This window comes from Homo sapiens, chromosome 12 (assembly GCF_000001405.40).
Source record: "Homo sapiens chromosome 12, GRCh38.p14 Primary Assembly".
Classification (NCBI taxonomy): Eukaryota; Metazoa; Chordata; class Mammalia; order Primates; family Hominidae; genus Homo; species Homo sapiens.
Genome location: NC_000012.12, coordinates 116,089,728 through 116,108,720, shown reverse-complemented (window position 1 = coordinate 116,108,720; position 18,993 = coordinate 116,089,728). Strand labels below are relative to the sequence as shown.

Sequence of the window (18,993 nt, the reverse complement as noted above, 5' to 3'; positions counted from 1 at the left end):
AAACATCTTTTCTTTTAGAAAATAATGATCAAACAAACCATCTTCATATAGTTTCTATGGATGACTTCAGATTCTTTTGAAAAATGGTACTAATCCTGTTGTTCTTTAAGATAATAATTTTCTCTTATCAAACTTAATGTAACTTTGTTCTATGAATGAAAATTACCCTGCTCATGAGATAGGAAAGCTAATTTAAATGATTGTTGTTGGCTCCGTTTATTCATTGTCAACAGAAGTTGGAAGGGCTAATATATGCTTGCTTATCTGTGGTGATGGATATCATGAAAATTACGCACAGCTCACCCCCACCCCCCACGCGCCCCCCCCCCCTTTCTTTTAAAGCTCAGCTATTGTTAATGTTAGAGTCTATTTTATGTGTGGCCCACGACAGTTCTTCCGATGAGACACAGGGAAGCCAAAATGTTGGATACCTGTACAACCATTTGTTGTAGTCTTTGAAAAACCTGTTTACAATATGAATTTATTGAGAATTTATTTACTGTCTTATTCCTGGCAATTTTCTGTTATGCCTTTTCATTTCTATTCAGATAAGATGTGGATATTGTGAGTTTCTGGCTTGAAAGCTAGAACTGAGGGGTTTTTTTTTTTTGTTTGTTTGTTTGTTTGTTTTGAGATGGAGTCTCGCTCTGTTGCCCAGGCTGGAGTGCAGTGGCACGATCTCGGCTCACTGCAACCTCCGCCTCCCAGGTTCAAGCAATTCTCCTGCCTCAGCCTCCTAAGCAGCTGGGACTACAGGCACGTGCCACCATGCCCAGCTAATTTTTGTATTTTTAGTAGAGATGGGGTTTCACCATATTGGCTAGGCTGGTCTCGAACTCCTGACCTCGTGATCCACCCGCCTTGGCCTCCCAAAGAGTTGGGATTGCAGGCATGAGCCACGGCGCCCGGCCCAACTGAGGATATTAAAACAGATCATCAAGGACTTTATCACTTGGAGAGTGTTTGTGTCTCTCCCTAGCCATTTTTTCCATAGTTTGCATGTTAACAAAGTTTGTATTGTGATCTATTATTTCTGCTTTTTATTTTTTAAGCATAAGATAGGTTTAATTAAAAGGGAATTTCATTTACTACATTGAGAATCTCTCACAGCTAAGCAGGAGCCATATAAATTGACCTTCTTTCCAAAAGGCTGCAATTTCTATTGTATGCAGAATAATGTCACTGAAGTGAGTTATTGAAAAACAATTTTACTGTAGAAATTAAGGAAATTTCTCACAGAATAATACAATTTCATTTGTCATTGCTATTGATTGGTGCTGAGGTAATCTTATATTGATGCTGTGTAGAATATTTTAAATTCTATGGTAATGTGACTTTAAATATTTTCACCTTTCACTTACTTTTGTAACTTTTCAGTATTTGTTGAAACTACATTGTATATATCTAGCTAGGGTCATCTGTCCATTAAAAACACCGAAAAGATCACTGCTACTTACTCAAGAGCATTGTCCATAACGATATCAGACAGAAGATAACATAGTTAGCTTTAATTTTATGTCTCTTTTTGGGGGTACGTGTTTGTTTAAGTCCTTTTCTTCACTTCCTTCAGAGATAAGAGATATTTTGGGTCTCAGTTCTGCCAGTTAACTGTGTGACACATGCCAGTGACTAAAGCCTGCTGAGCTCCTGTTCCTTCACCAGTAACATGGTGAAGGGTTCTTTGGCTCAGCACAGTACCTTTCTCATTGTAAGAGCTCAATAAGTGGTTAACTGTTGTTGATACTAGCTAACAGAAGTATTGGTATTACCTTTTCAGAGTGGGAGACAAACATTAAAAGTCACATAGTCAATTTACCCAGCTAATCATGGAATCCCTTTCTATAATATCTTTTTTTTTTTTTCCCTTTTTTTTTTGAGACAGAGTCTCGCTCCGTTGCCTGGGCTGGAGTGCAGTGGCGCGATCTTGGCTCACTGCAATCTCTGCCTCTCGGTTTCAAGCGATTCACCTGCCTCAGCCTCCCCAGTAGCTGGGATTACAGGTACCCACCACCACACCTGGCTAATTTTTGTATTTTTTAGTAGAGATGGGGTATCACCATGTTGGCCAGGCTGGCCTCGAATTCCTTACCTCAAGTGATCTGCCCACTTCGGCCTCCCACAGTGCTGGGACTACAGGCGTGAGCCACTGTACCCAGCCTTATAATATCTTTTTTACTGAATATATACTTTTGGTTAAGTAAGCACAGTTTTCCAAAGAGTTCTTTTTATCTTTAAAGAGTGCTTAGTATTAGAAAGTCTTACACTGAGCAGAAGCCTGTCTTCCTCTAACTTTCATTTCTTCGTTAACTCTGTTCTTTGGGATCATTTATAACGCAACCAGTTCTGCTTCCATGTGATGGCCTTTTTGATATCTCGACCCTCCTGCATTTTTCGTTCTTTGTTTGTGGTTCTTAATATATAATATTGAATTCCCCACCTTTTCTTGCCAGCCTTCCAGAAGTCCATCCAGTTGGTCCCACTCTCTTCATTTTGGCCTGCTTCAAGATACCATAAGTGTTTTATGAAGTATTCAGTCAGGTTAGGCTCAGTTATGCTGTAGTAACAGAAGACCTCAAAGATGTTACTAGCTCATCCAATAGAAGTTTATTTCATGCTCATGTTGCATGTTCATTGTGAGTAATTGATTATAGTACTATATCCTCTTCCCTCCACAACTCATGTTGGCAGGGCACCCTCCTGGGTATGACTTGGTGGGCCCATGGTAGAGAGCACAGAGCAGTGGCAGAGCACATGGTCGCTCATTAATGCTTTTGCTCGGAAATGGTATATCCCATTTCTGCTCACATTTCATTGGCCAAGACATTCAGCACCAACCTTAAAATCTAATGCATAACAAGGTATCATCTTTCAGTAGGAAGATACCCAAGGTACATGGCCAAGCTTGATATCAGTGGGACAGGAAGGGATAGCATTTATTTATATAGTATACACATTGGGATAGTATACCTTTGGGAAAAGAATATGTCTGCCATACCTATTAATTGAGTTATCTTCCCGTTCTGTTACTGTAATCTGTCTTCCAGACAGCTGGCCAGTTATGTTACTGAAACAGATATGTTTCTGAAACATACCTATGGCTATATTTATACCTGGTTTTTAAAACTTTGAGTCTTATTGGCTTCTTCTGGTACATTTTTTATTTGTAATTTGTCAGAATTTCAGTATCTGAGAGTATACATTCTGAATTTTATAGTTTTAGATCATGCAATTACACTTATTTTTCCTTGCTTTTGAAAAAGTAAATGTGCTTCCTATTTTCTTAATGATCAGTTATCTTTTTTTGTTGGAAAAATGCACAGAATGATAAAATGCGCAGAATGATAAAATGTAGTTTTTACTTATGTAGAGTCTCTGCTAGTCCCCTCTACTTCTTTCCATCCTTCCTCCCTTTCTAATAATGCACCAGTTGAGATTGTTCTTTATCAGTCCTCAATTTAGGGAAATTTTGTTAGGTATTTATGATTAACTTCTCAAAGGTTACACTTTGTGTTTTAAGTTCAGATTGCCTCACACTCCTTAGGGAAAAGTACTTTGGCTATCAATAGACGATGGGAAAAAAAATCTGCAATCATTTTTCAAGAGTTTCTTCATTTGGCATTTTTAGTATTGCAGACCTAATGGCTGTTACTTTGTTAGGATAGTTAGTATAAGTTTTCATAATATACCATATCCTTTTCACCTAACTCTATCAAAATAAAGTAAAATATTGGATGTAAAAGTTTTAAAAAGCCGGAAAATATGTGCAGTTCAAAAACTTAAAAGAGTTTTTCTTATTGCTTCAGTGATTTGTACCACATATGGGACTTAGGAAAATCTCGCTTTTCTAGCTGTGTAGAAATACTTGAAAGGTCTGACACAGTGCTGTCAAATTGGCATTATGTGCAGTAGTATACTTTAAATTTTCTTAACTTTTTAGAATAAAATATATGTTAATTTCAATAGAAAGCTCATTTTTTTCTCTGAAATGCAGATGATTGCTTTGCATACAAGAGAAGATTACTTGGGTCTTTTGAAGTTGTTTTATGCTTAATCATGTCCATACTTACTTAGGGAGACTTTAATCTGTGGGTATCTGACATTTGTAAAACATAATGGCTCTTCAGAGCAGTCAGCTGGTGCTGCTGTACTAATGGATTGTTAGCATATTTACCCCATGGTAGTTTATAACACAGCTGTAAAATTGCCTTTGGCCCAGAGCTGCTCTGTTTGCCAAGATTCAGTGTTTAGAGTTAAGATATTTTACTTGGAATATACAGTGAAAATAATGTGGGGAAAATTGAAATTATAATTATGATAACAATAGCATTATATTTGTCTATTCCTATCTTTCAATGTGTTGTGATATTGTAATAGAGGTGATGCAATAGAGGTGATTATCAAAGGGCAAATGAGGCCGGACACATGGCTCACACCTGTAGTCCCAGCACTTTGGGAGGCCGAGACAGGTGGATCACCTGAGGTCAGGAGTTTGAGACCACCCTGACCAACATGATGAAACTCTGACTCTACTAAAAATGCAAAATTAGACAGGTGTGGTTGCACATGCCTGTAATCCCAGCTACTTGGGAGACTGAGGCAGGAGAATCACTTGAACCTGGGAGGCGGAGGTTGCAGTGAGCCAAGACCGTGCCATTGCACTCCAGTCTGGGCGACAAGAGTGAAACTCCGTCTCAAAAAAAAAAAAAAAAAAAAAAAAAAAAGAGCAATGTCCTTGGATGTGGTGGTGAAGGGATTTCAGAATAACATACTCACTGGAGCATGGTGGGATGTACCGCCCTAGTTGAAGAAATCGTGATGTAACATTGACAGTCGTTGGGTATAATGTGATAACAGGAGCAAGAAATGAGTAATCAATAAATACCAATTTTATTGAAATAACAGTGTTTATTTCTCTAAAGAAAGTAGGAGAATGAGTCTTTAGACTTAAGGAGCATATACTTTAATGAAAGAGACAGTACAGATATCGTAGAACAAGTGACTGAAAGCACATGTCTATTTGTAAATGTCTAGAAAGAAACATTCACCCTGAGACTAATCAGTCTGTGTAGCTATTTAGTGAATATTTTTCAGTCAAGGGAAGGAATTAAGACTTTAAATTTAAAAAACAAAATTGATCTGGGAGCAGCGGCTTGTGCCTCTAAGCCCAGCTACTCAGGAGGCTGAGTCAGGAGGATTGCTTGAGGCCAGGAGTTTGAGACCAGGCTGGGCAACAAAGCGAGACCCCCATCTCTAAATAAAAATAAAAGTAAATTAAAACTAAAGAAATAAAAAATAAAGATTAGCTGATTGTGGTGACATGTGCACTTGTAGTCCCAGCTATTTGTGGGGCCAAGGCAGGAGGATGGCTTCAGCCCAGGAGTTTGAGGCTGTAGTGAGCTCTGATCTGCCACAGCACTCCAGCCTGGGCAACAGAGTGAGACTCTGTCTCTAAACATAAATAAATAAGTACATAATTTTATTTGGTAGTTGGAGAATGAGATTAGACATTAAAAGTTTAAAACTAGAGGAGAGATAAAGCTTTTGGAATTACATTAGAATGGACATTTCAGGTGAGGCCAGGCCTGTAAAAGAGGCTAACCGGACAGGCATGTTAGAGAGGATGGGATTAATAGGGCTTGCTTGGCAAGAGGAGACTGTATCCACTAGGGCACAGTAGTAGCCTAAAGTAATGAAAATATAGGGATCGCCTGGTGCGATGGCTCATGCCTTTACTCCCAGTACTTTGGGAGGCTGAGACAGGCGGATCACAAGATCAGGAGTTCAAGACCAGCCTGACCAACATGGTGAAACCCCGTCTCTACTAAAAATACAAAAATTAGGCGTGGTGGGGCGCGTCTGTAATCCCGGCTACTCAGGAGGCTGAGGCAGGAGAATCGCTTGAACCTGGGAGGCAGAGGTAGCAGTGAGCCAAGATCACGCCACTGCACTCCAGCCTGGGTGACAGAGTGAGACTCCGTATCAAAAAAAAAAAAAAAAAAAAAAAAAAAAAGAAAAAAGAAAAAGAAAAAGAAAATATAGGGATTACTCGGGAAAGGTTTCTTCAGCCCCTTGATTATGTAGGTTTATTTTATTTGGTTAGGGATTGGGAGCATTGTAATTTCTAGGAAGGAGACTTCTTTGCATATATATTTGATTTGGATTGGAATGGTGAGCAAAAGGCTTTGAGGCTGGTGGAGATACTCTATTATGAAGTAATGTAAAATTTAGCCTATGTGAGATGCTCTGTAACTCGATGATTAACAGAAGATGTAATTTTGTTGAGATTATGGTAGGGAAACCTATGAAAACCGTCATACTTAAATAATTTGAAGGGCACAGAAAAGAACAGAGCTAGTGATGGGCTGCCTTCTATACCTCCCAACTGTCTCATCTGGGAAATGGCTTCCCGAGCTAGGCTGTGGCTGCTCTGGTGACATTTGTAATCTTACGTCAGGTCTGCCTGTGGCTTTGGGATTAGAGTTTGGGGTGCCAACTTTGGAATCAGGCTGCATTTGCACTTAATTATTCAGAGCCATATGGCATGACACAGAAACATTAGGTACACACATACACACAGCCTGATTTCATTTTCATTTTTCAGCAGCTGTTTTCTTTTTGAAACAGTGATTTTGGGGAGGTGGTGGGGGTTGGGAACAGAAATAATTTCCTAGTACTATTGCTTAAAGACCATTTTATAAATCTGGCATCACAGTGATCTTGCCAGATAATATTGTACTACTTTCCAGCATTATATCATATTTGGATAGTGAAGTCATTTAGAAAATCTCAATAATAATGACTGGGATTACTGAGTAGAGAACCAAGGTTAATTGATATATAGTCTTAGCACTATTTATGATGATATTGATTTGAAACAGTTTTTGCCTGATGGAGTGTGTCTGCTTGATTTATTTATTTGTGAAGTTAAGTATAAATTTTGACCCTCAAAGCTTGATAGAGTGTAAAAAAGGGGAAATTATATTTCTGATGTAACTTTTATATCTTAGAATTATCTGTCATTAAAAGATTTGCAAATTATGTTCTTTAAAATATCATTAAAGCATTTGGGCAGCAGTGCTGGTCATACTAAACATTTTTTAGTGTCTATGAATCTACTATGATTTTAATCTTCAGTGGGATACGATGGGCTATAAAGAATTGAAATATGTAGATTTTTTCCCCTCAAACACCACTGTTGCATTAGCGAGAATACATACACATAAGAAAATTCAAATAACAGTACAAGACTACCCGTGATTAGTGATTATAAACAAGAAAAATGCCAGCATTACATTATGAATAGGAAAATACTCCTTGGTATATGGCATTCATTTCTCATATATTTATTGAGCACCTCCCAATATAGAGCATACATTTAAGCATGTTACATAGTGGGCACTTAAATATTTGTTGAATATTATCAGTGGATAAGACAGACACACACCGTCTGTACTCCCAAAGAACTGATAGTTTTATTGGGGAATAAAGCTGTAGAACTTAATCATTACAACTCAGTGGTGAAAGTGCTGATTTGTAGATGTTAGAGTAGTGTGCAGGCTTGATCGGGACAGAAAGAATGAATAGAATTCAAATTAGAGGAGAAGGGAGAAGAAAGAGATTTCTGGCCAAAGCAGGGTTAATAGACATTAGTGGTAGTATTTAATATGGAAATTCAGAGCCAAGGACATGCTTCGTAGTTGACCAGCCCTGTGTAATTGTGTGCGATGTTTTGCTCTTCCACACATTTTTTCTGAGGACAGAATTTATAGTGGCTTTCATTAATTTTTGTTGTTGTTGTTTTGTTTTTGAGACAGGATCTCACTCTGTCATCCAGGCTGGGGTGCAGGGGTGCCATCACAGCTCATTGCAGCCTCGACCTCCTGGGCTCCAGTGATCTGTCCACTTCAGCTCCCTGAGTCCTGAGTAGCTGGGACTACAGGTGTGCATGACCACACCCAGCTAATTTTTGTAATTTTTTGTAGATACAGGGTTCCACTATGTTGTCTGGTGTCAAACTCCTGGCCTCAAGCTGTTCTTCCACTTTGGCTCCCCAGAGTGCTGGGATTACAGGCCTGAGCCACCATGCCTGGCTGATTAATTTTTTTTTTTTTTTTTTTTTTTTGAGACGGAGTCTCTCTTTTCACCCAGGCCAGAATGCAATGGTGTGATCTTGGCTCACTGCTGTCTCTACCTCCTGGGTTCAAGCGATTCTCTTGCTCCAGCCTCCCGAGTAGGTGGGATTACAGGTGCCCACCACAACACCCGGGTAAATTTTTGTATTTTTAGTAGAGACGGGGCTTTACCATGTTGGCCAGGCTGGTCTCAAACTCCTGACCTCAGGTGATCCACCCATCTCGGCCTCCCAAAGTGCTGGGATTACAGGGGTGAGCCACTGTGCCCAGCCAATTTTTTTTTAAAGCTATAGATCCATGACCCAAAAACGTTTGAGAACCAAGGACTTTGTGCCTCTATATAGGCTACTGTTGAGTCAGCATATTCCCTTGTATCAATTAGGTCTTCCTTAGAAAAGGCACACCTTCTCTCTCATTTCCTCCTATAACCATGTGGAAATACTTCTGTACTGCCTAATCTTGGAGGGACTGTGTGTGTATCTCCCATCTCTGTCCCAGTACTTAAAAAACTGAGTAAAAACACTACTTCATGCAATTCTCTGCTGTCATGTTTTCCTTTCATTGTGTGGGAAATCATTGATCACAGAGAAACTCATTAGCAAATGAAAAATCATCTAAGTTATTTGTGACTCTTATTTGGAAACACATGGTTTCAGCTTGAAGCATCGGTATTTTCCATGGCTGTTTTGTGTGTAACAACCTTTTGATGACATTGCCTGACGAAGAAATATGACCTGCAGTGGGAACTCAAGGAGCTCTATTCACGCAGTGTTGGACTCTCAGAGTTTTCATCAGCCTTTTTGCCTTTTGCTTTTGTCCTTGAGTGGTCTTGACTGTGCACTGCTCTTCTACCCTCCAGACCTTGTTTGTTTTTTCTGGAATGAAGTCCAGCATATAGAATTTGTGACTTTTACTTGATAGAAGAACAAATAAACTTTCAGACATTGTCCTCTTTAGTCACAGATATTTTATCTGCTTTTATTTCATATTATACTCTCTGTAGCCTTGGATTTTTCTTTCTGTACACTGTAAATTTATGATTTGTTACTGAATAAATGGTTGTTTTGAATTCTGACCTTCAAGACATGAGGAAATGAATATTTTTTAAAACAGTATTTACTAAGTGAGGATGTGTGTTACTGGAAGACTGTTCAGTGTTTGACGTGACTCCATACCTGTTACGTGCCGTATTGCTTTTATTCTCAGCATTATCAATTTTAAGATATACCTTCAATGTAACAATGGCTTTTGGAGACTAAAGAAGCATTATCACGTTAAATAGACTGTAATTTACAAGGTACATTTGGACTTGAGAAATAAGGAAAGAATTGGGAAAATGTGACAGCATGAGAGTTGGTATATGCTAATTATTAAATGTCCTGGCTCTGTGATCAGATATACCTGGGCTTGTGTGCAGCTCTGCTGTTTATTATCTGGATGACATTCTCACTGTGCCTCAGCTTCTTCATCTACAAAAATTGCCATTGTAACACTCATCTTTTATTACTGCTACAAGAGTTAAATAAGGTACTGTGCCTGGTAATCAACCAGGTAGTGGTGGTATAGTGATTCTGGTAGCAGTTATTGATAATATTATTGCAGAAACTTGGTATTAAACACTAGAGTTCTAGTGGAAATATGTTTATATGTACTCTAATAAAAATATAATTAAGTCTGTTAGCTGGTGAATAAACTGTGGAGATGCTTTTTCAGTTTTGCTTCTTGAATACTTCCTCCTTGGGTGGGTGTGCCATATTTCCTATTTTCTAAATTTAATGGAGTCACAGTCCTTACCCCTAAAAAGCATTTTTTTTTAAACTTATAAGCTTAGGAAAAGAGATTTGGTTACGCTGAAAATGATTTTCTTCATTGTGAACAATGGAAGATCGCAGTAGAAATTTATTTTCTAAGTAAAACCAGTGGAGCCCAGTGACTTTTTGGTACATTGGTTCTCCGAATTGACTGCCCAAAAGGAGTTCCATTGTGGTCATCAGAAACTATTACCATTCACTAACCCATCTAACCTGTAATGAGTTGGGTGAGGGCTTGAATTGTTTCCATCCTCTTTGATGGTGTGGAAATTACAGAGGCAAAAGCCATGTGCAGAATTGCCTCAATATGGAATAAAGAATTGCTATATAACTCTTTTGCTGGTAGGTAGGACCCTGTATAGAAGAATTACATTCAGTGTTCTGACATCTTTTCTTACAAAATATGTAGAATTTCACTGAATACTGTTAGAGATAACTGTATTTCAGTAGTTCCAAATGTGCACATTTTCCCCATTTCCCCCCCACATTTTTATGTTTTTGTTTTTATTTTTATATTTATTTATTTTTTTTGAGATGGAGTTTCGCTCTTGTTGCCCAGGCTGGAGTGCAATGGCGTGATCTCAGATCACTGCAACCTCTGCCTCCCGGGTTCAAGTGATTCTCCTCCTTCAGCCTCCCGAGTAGCTGGGATTACAGGCGCGCACCACCACGCCCAGCTAATTTTTTGTATTTTTAGTAGAAACGGGGTTTGACCATGTTAGCCAGGCTAGTCTCGAACTCCTGACCTCAGGTGATCTGCCCGCCTCGGCTTCCCAAAGTGCTGGGATTACCGGCATGAGCCACCCACCCAGCCTCATTTTTATGTTTTTAAAATCAGTTATACTCCTTACAATCCATGGCATCCGCAGTTGGCCAGGTGGCAGTTAAGATACAGTTGTCATTTGCCTGCACATGAGTGAACTTGATCATAACTCTGTGTTGTTGTCAGTTCAGCTGAATTGTGTATGTTATTGTTGTTACAAGAGTTGGGTTCACTTGCCATTTAACATGTCTTCAAAAAAACATGTTAGAATACCTTGTAATTTGACATTAAAATGACATACACAAGTGGCATGGAAACAGAAGTGGGCCACTGCTTGTATATGAATAAAGCAGATATTCATTATTGAAGACACAATTGCAATTCCTTGTTTCTTGCAAAGCCATAATCAAGTCCTTTATTGTGCCTACAAAAAGAAAATACCTAAGATAAAGCTGTGCTGTATTTTTGTCACTGAGATCCTCATCACGTAAAAAGTATTGCCTATCACATGCAAAGCCAAAAAATAAAAAATAAAAATTTAAAAAGCCAGCATTAAAACTTGCAAGATGGGCTGGGCATGATGGCTCACACCTATAATCCCAGCACTTTGGGAGGCTGAGGCGGGTGGATCACTTGAGGCCAGGAATTCGAGATCAGCCTGGCCAACATGGTGAGACCCCGTCTCTATTAAAAGTACAAAAATTAGCCAGACATGGTGGTGCACGCCCATAATCCCAGCTACCTGGGAGATTGAGACAGGAGAATCACTTGAACCTGGGGGGTGGCGGCTGCAGTGAGCCAAGATTGCACCACTGCCCTCCAGCCTAGGCAACAGAGACTCTGTCTCAAAAAAAAAAAACTTGAAAGATGGGTGTTAGTGGCTTGGATGAATATCTCTGAAGTTCTCTTAAGAAATGCTGTATTCCTAACATTCTTGATGATGCAAGAATTGAAATTATGCAGAAGTGTGATTTTATTTGAAGTAATTCTGAAGCGTAAGATGTTTTAGAAATACATCAATCAATTTATTTTGCTTACTTTTGTTTACATTTTCTTTTTTACGTGGGCATAAGAATCTGTGCCCAGTGTCCCAGAGTTCTTTCGGAAAGTATAACGTAAAAATTTTAAGTGATAAAACATTTTGATAGTTTAATTGGTGGTGTTTTTATTTTTGGTGATATATCTCATCTGGTGTATTGCTTCAGCGACTTACTAATTTGTTACTGATACTATAAAAGTAATTCTTGATGTAATTATTTTAGGTGCCTAATGGATAAGAACTTCGTTAGGATTGGGAAATGGTTTGTCCGACCCTACGAAAAGGATGAAAAGCCAGTCAACAAAAGGTGAGCCTTTAGAATGCTCTTGGCTTTTTGGTTTCTTTGGCCTTGTGGGTGGGTGAACAGCTTATTGATTTATTTATTTCCTAATAATGTTAGTAGTTTAGATATACTCAAATAGATCCTGGATCACAGTGTTCTTAAATACTATATTATTAAATTTATATTCAATATTAAAGATTGATTAGAAAGGTGATTGCCAATATACTCATGTTCAAGCCACATATTACTATACTATTTGGAATTAAGATAATCTGTTTTGTTATTTTCCATTTTCCTTCCTCATCTTTGACTTTTTTTTTTTTTTTTTTTTTTTTTTTGAGGCTGTGTCTCACTCTGTCACCCAGGCTGGAGTACAGTGGTGCCATCTTGGCTCACCTCAGCCTCGACTTCCCAGGCTCAGGTGATCCTCCCAACTCAGCCTCCCAAGTAGCTGGGACCACAGGTGTATGCCACCACACCTGGCTAATTTTTTGTATTTTTGGTAGAGATGGGATTTTGCTGTGTTGCCCAGGCTGGTCTCGAACTCCTGAACTCAAGCCATCTGCCCACCTTGGCCTCTCAAACTGCTGGGATTATAGGTGCGAGCCATTGCGCCCGGCCTCATCATTGATTTTTTAAAAGTGTTGTATGGAATAAGTTTAAAAACAGTGAAGAAATGGTGACAATTTTTGTGGAATTCATTGGTGCCCCTTAAAGAAGATCAACACATCTTTGACGATTGTAAAACCAGAACTGTGAATTACTTTCCTAAACAATCCTAAACTTTTAGCCATCATATGTGTGTGTTTAAATGCAATCCTTGATACTATACAGACATGGAATTTTAGATCAGTCACACCAGAATCGGAAAACAAAACCCTCAGAATTTAAAATTTACTTTGGCTACCTCTGAATGTAGCACACATGTAGTTGGAATCATAAGTTGATGGTGAATATTCATTATTGATGAGCATGGTATTCAATTTAAATTTTGTTTTATTATCAGTGTACTTGCCCTAAGTGTCCCAGGTACTGGGTGCAGATTAGAGCCCTTGAAGCCTTACATAGTAGTTTTAAGATTAGGTCTTTTCTTTTGGTTGCAAAATTTCAGCTGGAAACTCCTGCCTCATTAGGAACCTTTGCTTGCTTAACTTTCCTAGTTTCTAGCAGAGACTTAATTAGTAGTCTTCTCACTCAACCTGTCTGCCTTAAATCTTTAATGAAATGGTTGTGGAATCTTCTCATTAACCAAACATAATTTATGAAAATTTTCAAATCAGATAAATTAGGGACCGGAAGTTTTCTTTGTCAAATCACCATAAACTTCTTTGAAGCATTTTCCTTTTCAGTACATTCAAAATCCTTTAAAAAGTAGCAATGTGTATGGGTGTGTGAAAGTTTGATTCTGTTTACAGATACTTTGATGAAATGGGATTTTTTTCCCCTTATAAATATATATGTATAGATTCGGCTTAACTAATGTGTTTCATGAGTTTTTACTTTCATTTATTTTTACTTCTTTAAGTTTTTGAGACAGGGTCTTGCTTTGTTATCCAGGCAGGAGTGCCAGTGGCGTGATCTCGGCTCACTGCAACCTCTGCCTCCCGGGTTCAAGCGATCCTCCCACTTCAGCCTCCCAAGTAGCTGGGACTGTAGGCACACACCACCACACCCAGCTCATTTTTAAATTTTTTGTAAAGACAGGGTTTTGCCATGGCTGGTCTTGAACTCCTGAGCTCAAAGCAGTCCACCTACCTTGGCCTCCCAAAGTTCTGGGATTACAGGTGTGAGCCCCTGTGCCTGGCCTTTGGTTTTTACTTTTAATCTTAGCATTCTCCTTAAATTTACAGAGGACTTAAATTTAAATCTTCTGAGTGGTTTAAATTTGGCTTTTATGTTTATGACTCTGCAGACTTAAATATGGAGTGCTTTATCCCAGTGACCTTCTTTATCATTCTGAGTACATCTGTCCATGCCTAACATGGATTGTGTCACTGGTCACTGGTGAGTTAAATGAGCTAGTCATAAAATAGCTTTAGACCATAAAATACAGGATGATTTGACAGCCACTTGGGGATGAAGAGGAAATGTAGATAAAAAGTAGGGATTGAAGGAGTAGCAATTAGTATGTTAATAGTAAAAAATAACTATCATTATCAGCCTATTTTATATAGAGTTTGTATATCTTTACACTCATTTTGGCTCCAAAAATCTTCATAACTTTAGCAAGCCTGATGTAAATAATGCATGTAATGTATTTGGGAATTTGATTCAATATAAATGGGAGGCTGCTGATATATGAGCACTGTAATTGAATGGATTTTAGACTTTATGTTCATGATTGAATATGGGACTTTGTTTTCCTTCAGTGCAGAAATGTAAATTATTTTGAAACAGTATTTCAGAAAAGCTTAACAATTAGAAAACATTTAAACCAAAGATGAATTTAAAAATTGGCGTTTGCTTTAATAAAACTTTATTAGGTATGATGACTTTTCCTCCTTTTATTCTCTGAGTGGAAAATAGAGCCTCTTGGTAGATGTTGAAATAGGATCTCAGTAGTCATGCCTGAGTTGGACAGTTTTAAATGGACAGTCATGCTGTGAAGGAGAGCATTTAGCATTAGAAGAGAATTGGGTTCACATCTTATTCTTCCACTTGCAAGTTAGATTTTGGACAAAGTTTATCTCAGCTGAATTTTTATTATTATTGAGTTGAAAATCATAATGTCTTAGAGGGTTATAGTGAAGATTAAATTAGATAATTTATGTGGCAGTTTATAATTTAGTTGAGAGAGAGAAATGAATTAAATTAATTTTTCTTAAGTTTAGTTGTGTCTTTTTTGGTACATTGGTACAGATCCATTTAGTGGCTAATGGAGAGGAAAACCTGTTGCCCAGTGCTAAACAAATTAAATGTACAAATTTATGTTTTAGAAAAGCTCTTATTTCTAAGTATAGTGTAATACTAGCATATAGTATCTATATATAATATCTATAATCTTAGCATATAGATAGTATATGCTAGGATTACTAGCATTACTGATTATTAGTATTACTAATTTCTCATACTGCATATTTTAGATATTCTAATCATGGTGAAAAAATACTGATGAATGAGTTCTCCCTGTTAGAATAATAGCATATGATTTTTTGTGCTATAATTTCTTTCTGTACTCCTTTAAAGTTCTTGTGCTATGATTTCATTTACTAATGGACTCCTAAAAGGGTTCTTAATATTTGATATGAGTTGATGTTCAGGAGAATTCTAAAGTAGATTATTTGCATATTATATATTAAAAATATGTATTTGATTAGGTAGTTTTAGAAACATAGAAATTCATTCAATATAATTTTTTCTCTATATTGACATCTTTTATTATTCATATCCTTGGGAAAAGAATAAGTAGAAAATACAACTTTGGGTTTGCCCTTGAGTGGTGACAACTAAAATCAAACATACAAAATTTCTGTTTTCTAAGGTCTAGGTTGAACTTGAAAAAAAGCTTTTGCATTCAGAATATGTTTTAAAACAAACCGGTGAAAATCATTTGGAAATTATTCCAATCATGCAGGTTCTCTCTCTTGGGAAGGCATTTGTTTTCTAATTTAATCTCAATCCACATTTTATTACAGGAGAATTTGAAATCTATACACTTTAGTCTTTGAATGTCATTTTTAGGAAACAGTTTATTGCCCTCAATAACAGTGGGCCTTTGATCTTTTCTGGTATCAGGTATACAGAAGCTAAGTTAACAAAAATAGTAACTTGCTAATTCATTTTCTGGGTTAATTTGCTGTCACTGACTCTTGGGCAAATCTACTCTGTTCTTGGGTGATACTCCAGAGAGCATCACATGTTTTCAGATATTCTAATTACTTTTGTATGTGCTGATAGCACATGTGCACACACCCCCCCCACCACACATATACCCATACACACTGAAAGTATATTACTTTAACTATCGTTTTTGTCTTCTCTCCTCTTAACTTCAGACTTTTTAAAACTTCTTTTTTATTTTCTTAGATTACCTAACATACATATTTAAGAAATGTAAATACGTTTTTTGGTTTAATAGCAAAGCGTGTATTTTGTGTAACAATACATTATTAACTCATACCAGAAATGTTTTGATGTAGGAGAACCATATTTAGTATTTTGAAACTTTCCCTTCCTTTCCTTATTTCATCCTCCCCTCCCCTTTATCTCCTCAAAGATAACAACCTGCTATTCCATTTTCTGAATTAATTAGCTATCACTGACTCATGGGCAAACCTGCCCTGTTCTTGAGTGGTACGCCTTCTCTCCATCCTCCTCTTTTTCCCCAGACTCTGTTATAGCCCAGTCATCTGTGTTATTTAGCTTTTAGAGATGCCCAGATAAGAAGGCGGAGAAGGGATCCCTAGTCTAGAAGGTGAGCAGACACTTCAAGTGTGAACGGTAAAGCAAGCCTCTTTTTAGTGTCCAGAAAAATGAGATCAGTAGCTATCTATGATTTTTTCTGTTTTACTCATAAATTTACTTTGCACATGTGGTGCCTATCTGTTAATAAGGGCTTGCTGATGGGAAGTCCATAGACAAATATTAATGGGACAATTTGGACTTACATAATCATGCATAATAGTTTTACAGCTTTTTTTTGGTAGCTCTATAAAACATTTACTCATTTTCTGAGAGTCTATCTGAGGGAGTTACAGTATTCTGCCATTTGAATATATTTGGGGATTGTGTGAAAAGTGAGTTAGAGTCTTGGGGATCATCAACATTTGTAGAATGGGTACAGAAACAAGAATACATAAAGGAGACTGAAGAGTCAACTGGAAATGAGAACCAAGAGAGACTGGTGTTACCAGAACCATGGAATTTTAAAGTTTCAAGATTGATCAGCTGTGTCTGCCATAGAGGCATGTAAAACATGTACTATAAAGACTATTAGATTTGGCAATTATGTAGTCATGGTGACTATAACATTGGCAGTTTCAAGTGGTGAAATTCAGATTGCAGTAGCTTGCATTATAAATGGGAGTTGAAGTGAAGATACTGAATGTAGAGCTTTTGCAGTAGTTTTTACAAGTAGCTGCAAAACACAAAACTGTTGATTCCAGGAAGGGAGCAGACAAACACTTAATAAGGGCTTGTGATAAAGCTTAATAGTGGTAGCTATAATTTTAAAAAGTATCTTTCGTGTACCAGGTACTTTGCTCTGTAGTTTCATAAACATATATAGGGGAATGTTAAATTGAAAGACCACTTCAGCCAGAGGTGATGATAGTTAAATACAGTATTTGCTTTCTATCCAACTCTTCTAGTTTTTCCTTTTTTTCTTAATAACTTAAAAGAAGTTATGACTGTTAGTTTTTATTTTTCATTTGTGCTATTAGTGGTCTAAACAGTATATGTCAACAATAATTATTGATTTTTACACTTTAAAGTAAAATATATTTAAATATGTGCTATTTTCAAGAAGGATTGAAAATACCTTATAGTAAAAGAGATACCTTGTTTTTTAAATTCTTTTTTATAGTAAAAGATATACCTTGTTTTTTAATTCTTTTTTTTTTTTTTTTTTTTTGAGACAGAGTTCCGCTCTGTCACCCAGGCTGGAGTGCACAGGTGCGATGTCAGCTCACTGCAATGTCCTCCAGGTTCAAGCAATTCTCCTGCCTCAGCCTCCCAAGTAGCTGGGATCACAGGCATGCATCACCAACACCTGGCTAATTTTGTATTTTTAGTAGAGACGGGATTTCACCATGTTGGCCAGGCTAGTCTCGAACTCTTGACCTCACGTGATCCACCTGCCTTGGCCTCCCAAAGTGCTGGGATTACAGGCATCAGCCACTGCGCCTGACCTATACCTTGTTTTTTAATATACTGGAGAGGTTGAGAGAATACCATTATTGTAATTCCTTTTTAAATTCCTGCTAAATAACTGAAACTAAGCTCAAAACAAATCTCTCCTTGTTCAATAGACCGTTCATCCGGAAATGTAGATGATCTTCCATTAACTATTTGACCTTGTGGGACCTAGTGAATCCTTTGGGACTTCAGTTTTAGCATTTATTTCTAAGTTGTCTTTTAGCTTTCTGATTCTCTGATTCTCTAAGTGAAGTGAAGTTGGTGAAGTCTGGACATGTCCTATCCATGTATGTCTCTGTATATATCCATATCTTTTATTCTTTTTTTCTCTACCACTCAGAGCATGTTACCTTCATTGTATTTAGTTCTGCTGTAAGCAGAAAGTAACTCTTGTATTCACCACTGCAAGAGATTTGATATCATTCTTCCCAAGAGTTGGAAAATTTTAAAAGAACATGTTTGTAGAGAGGGAAGGATTATGTTAACTTGAGTAACGATACTCATAATCAGATCAAGAAATGGAAGGAGAAATTGTAGGTCCCAAATGGGAGTTGAGGTGTTAATTTCAGTTTTTTATTACAGAGGTGACCACCTATTCACCTTTGCTTAAGGTGTCTTAGCCAAAAGCCACTTTCCCTGTTGGAAACAAAGTCAGTTGAAGCTTCAGAGCATGAATGAATAAAGGTTCAAAGTTTAACCTTTTGGTAGCATGAGGGAAGTACTGTTCAGTTTACTCATATCTCAGCCTCATTTAGGATGTTGTTCATGGTATGTTTTTCTGACCAAATAATAGACTGAGCCTAAGTACCGTAGAATGATATTGCAGTATATCAACTAGATCATTCTCATAGATTAATGAAATGGATTACTCTAGAAGTTGACTACATTTAAAAAGGAATGTCTTATCCTCTGCTTTGTAAATGTAGCTAAATTTGGCATACTTTGCTGAAGTATCTTAGAATTTAGAGAAAGTGTAAAAATGAATATGCCTGGAAGGTTGTTTCCATTCTTTTTTCATGGCATCTCAGTAACATGGGGGGAATTTTATGGCAAGTTAAAAACAGACTTGTCTGAGGGAAATGACTGCTCCTGTTTTTATGCTATTACTA

General features: G+C 37.4%; 1 protein-coding gene across 8 annotated transcripts in view; it reads left to right on the top strand.

Annotated features, from left to right (window-relative positions):
• Positions 1-18,993, top strand: part of MED13L (mediator complex subunit 13L) — a 319,118-nt gene that overhangs the window by 168,973 nt on the left and 131,152 nt on the right. For all 8 annotated transcript variants that reach the window (XM_047428608.1, XM_017019090.2, NM_015335.5 and 5 more), the window contains one exon: positions 11,969-12,052. In XM_047428608.1, the coding sequence (XP_047284564.1) occupies positions 11,976-12,052 (77 nt within the window). In that variant the 5' untranslated portion in view covers positions 11,969-11,975. The remainder of the gene's footprint in view (positions 1-11,968; positions 12,053-18,993) is intronic.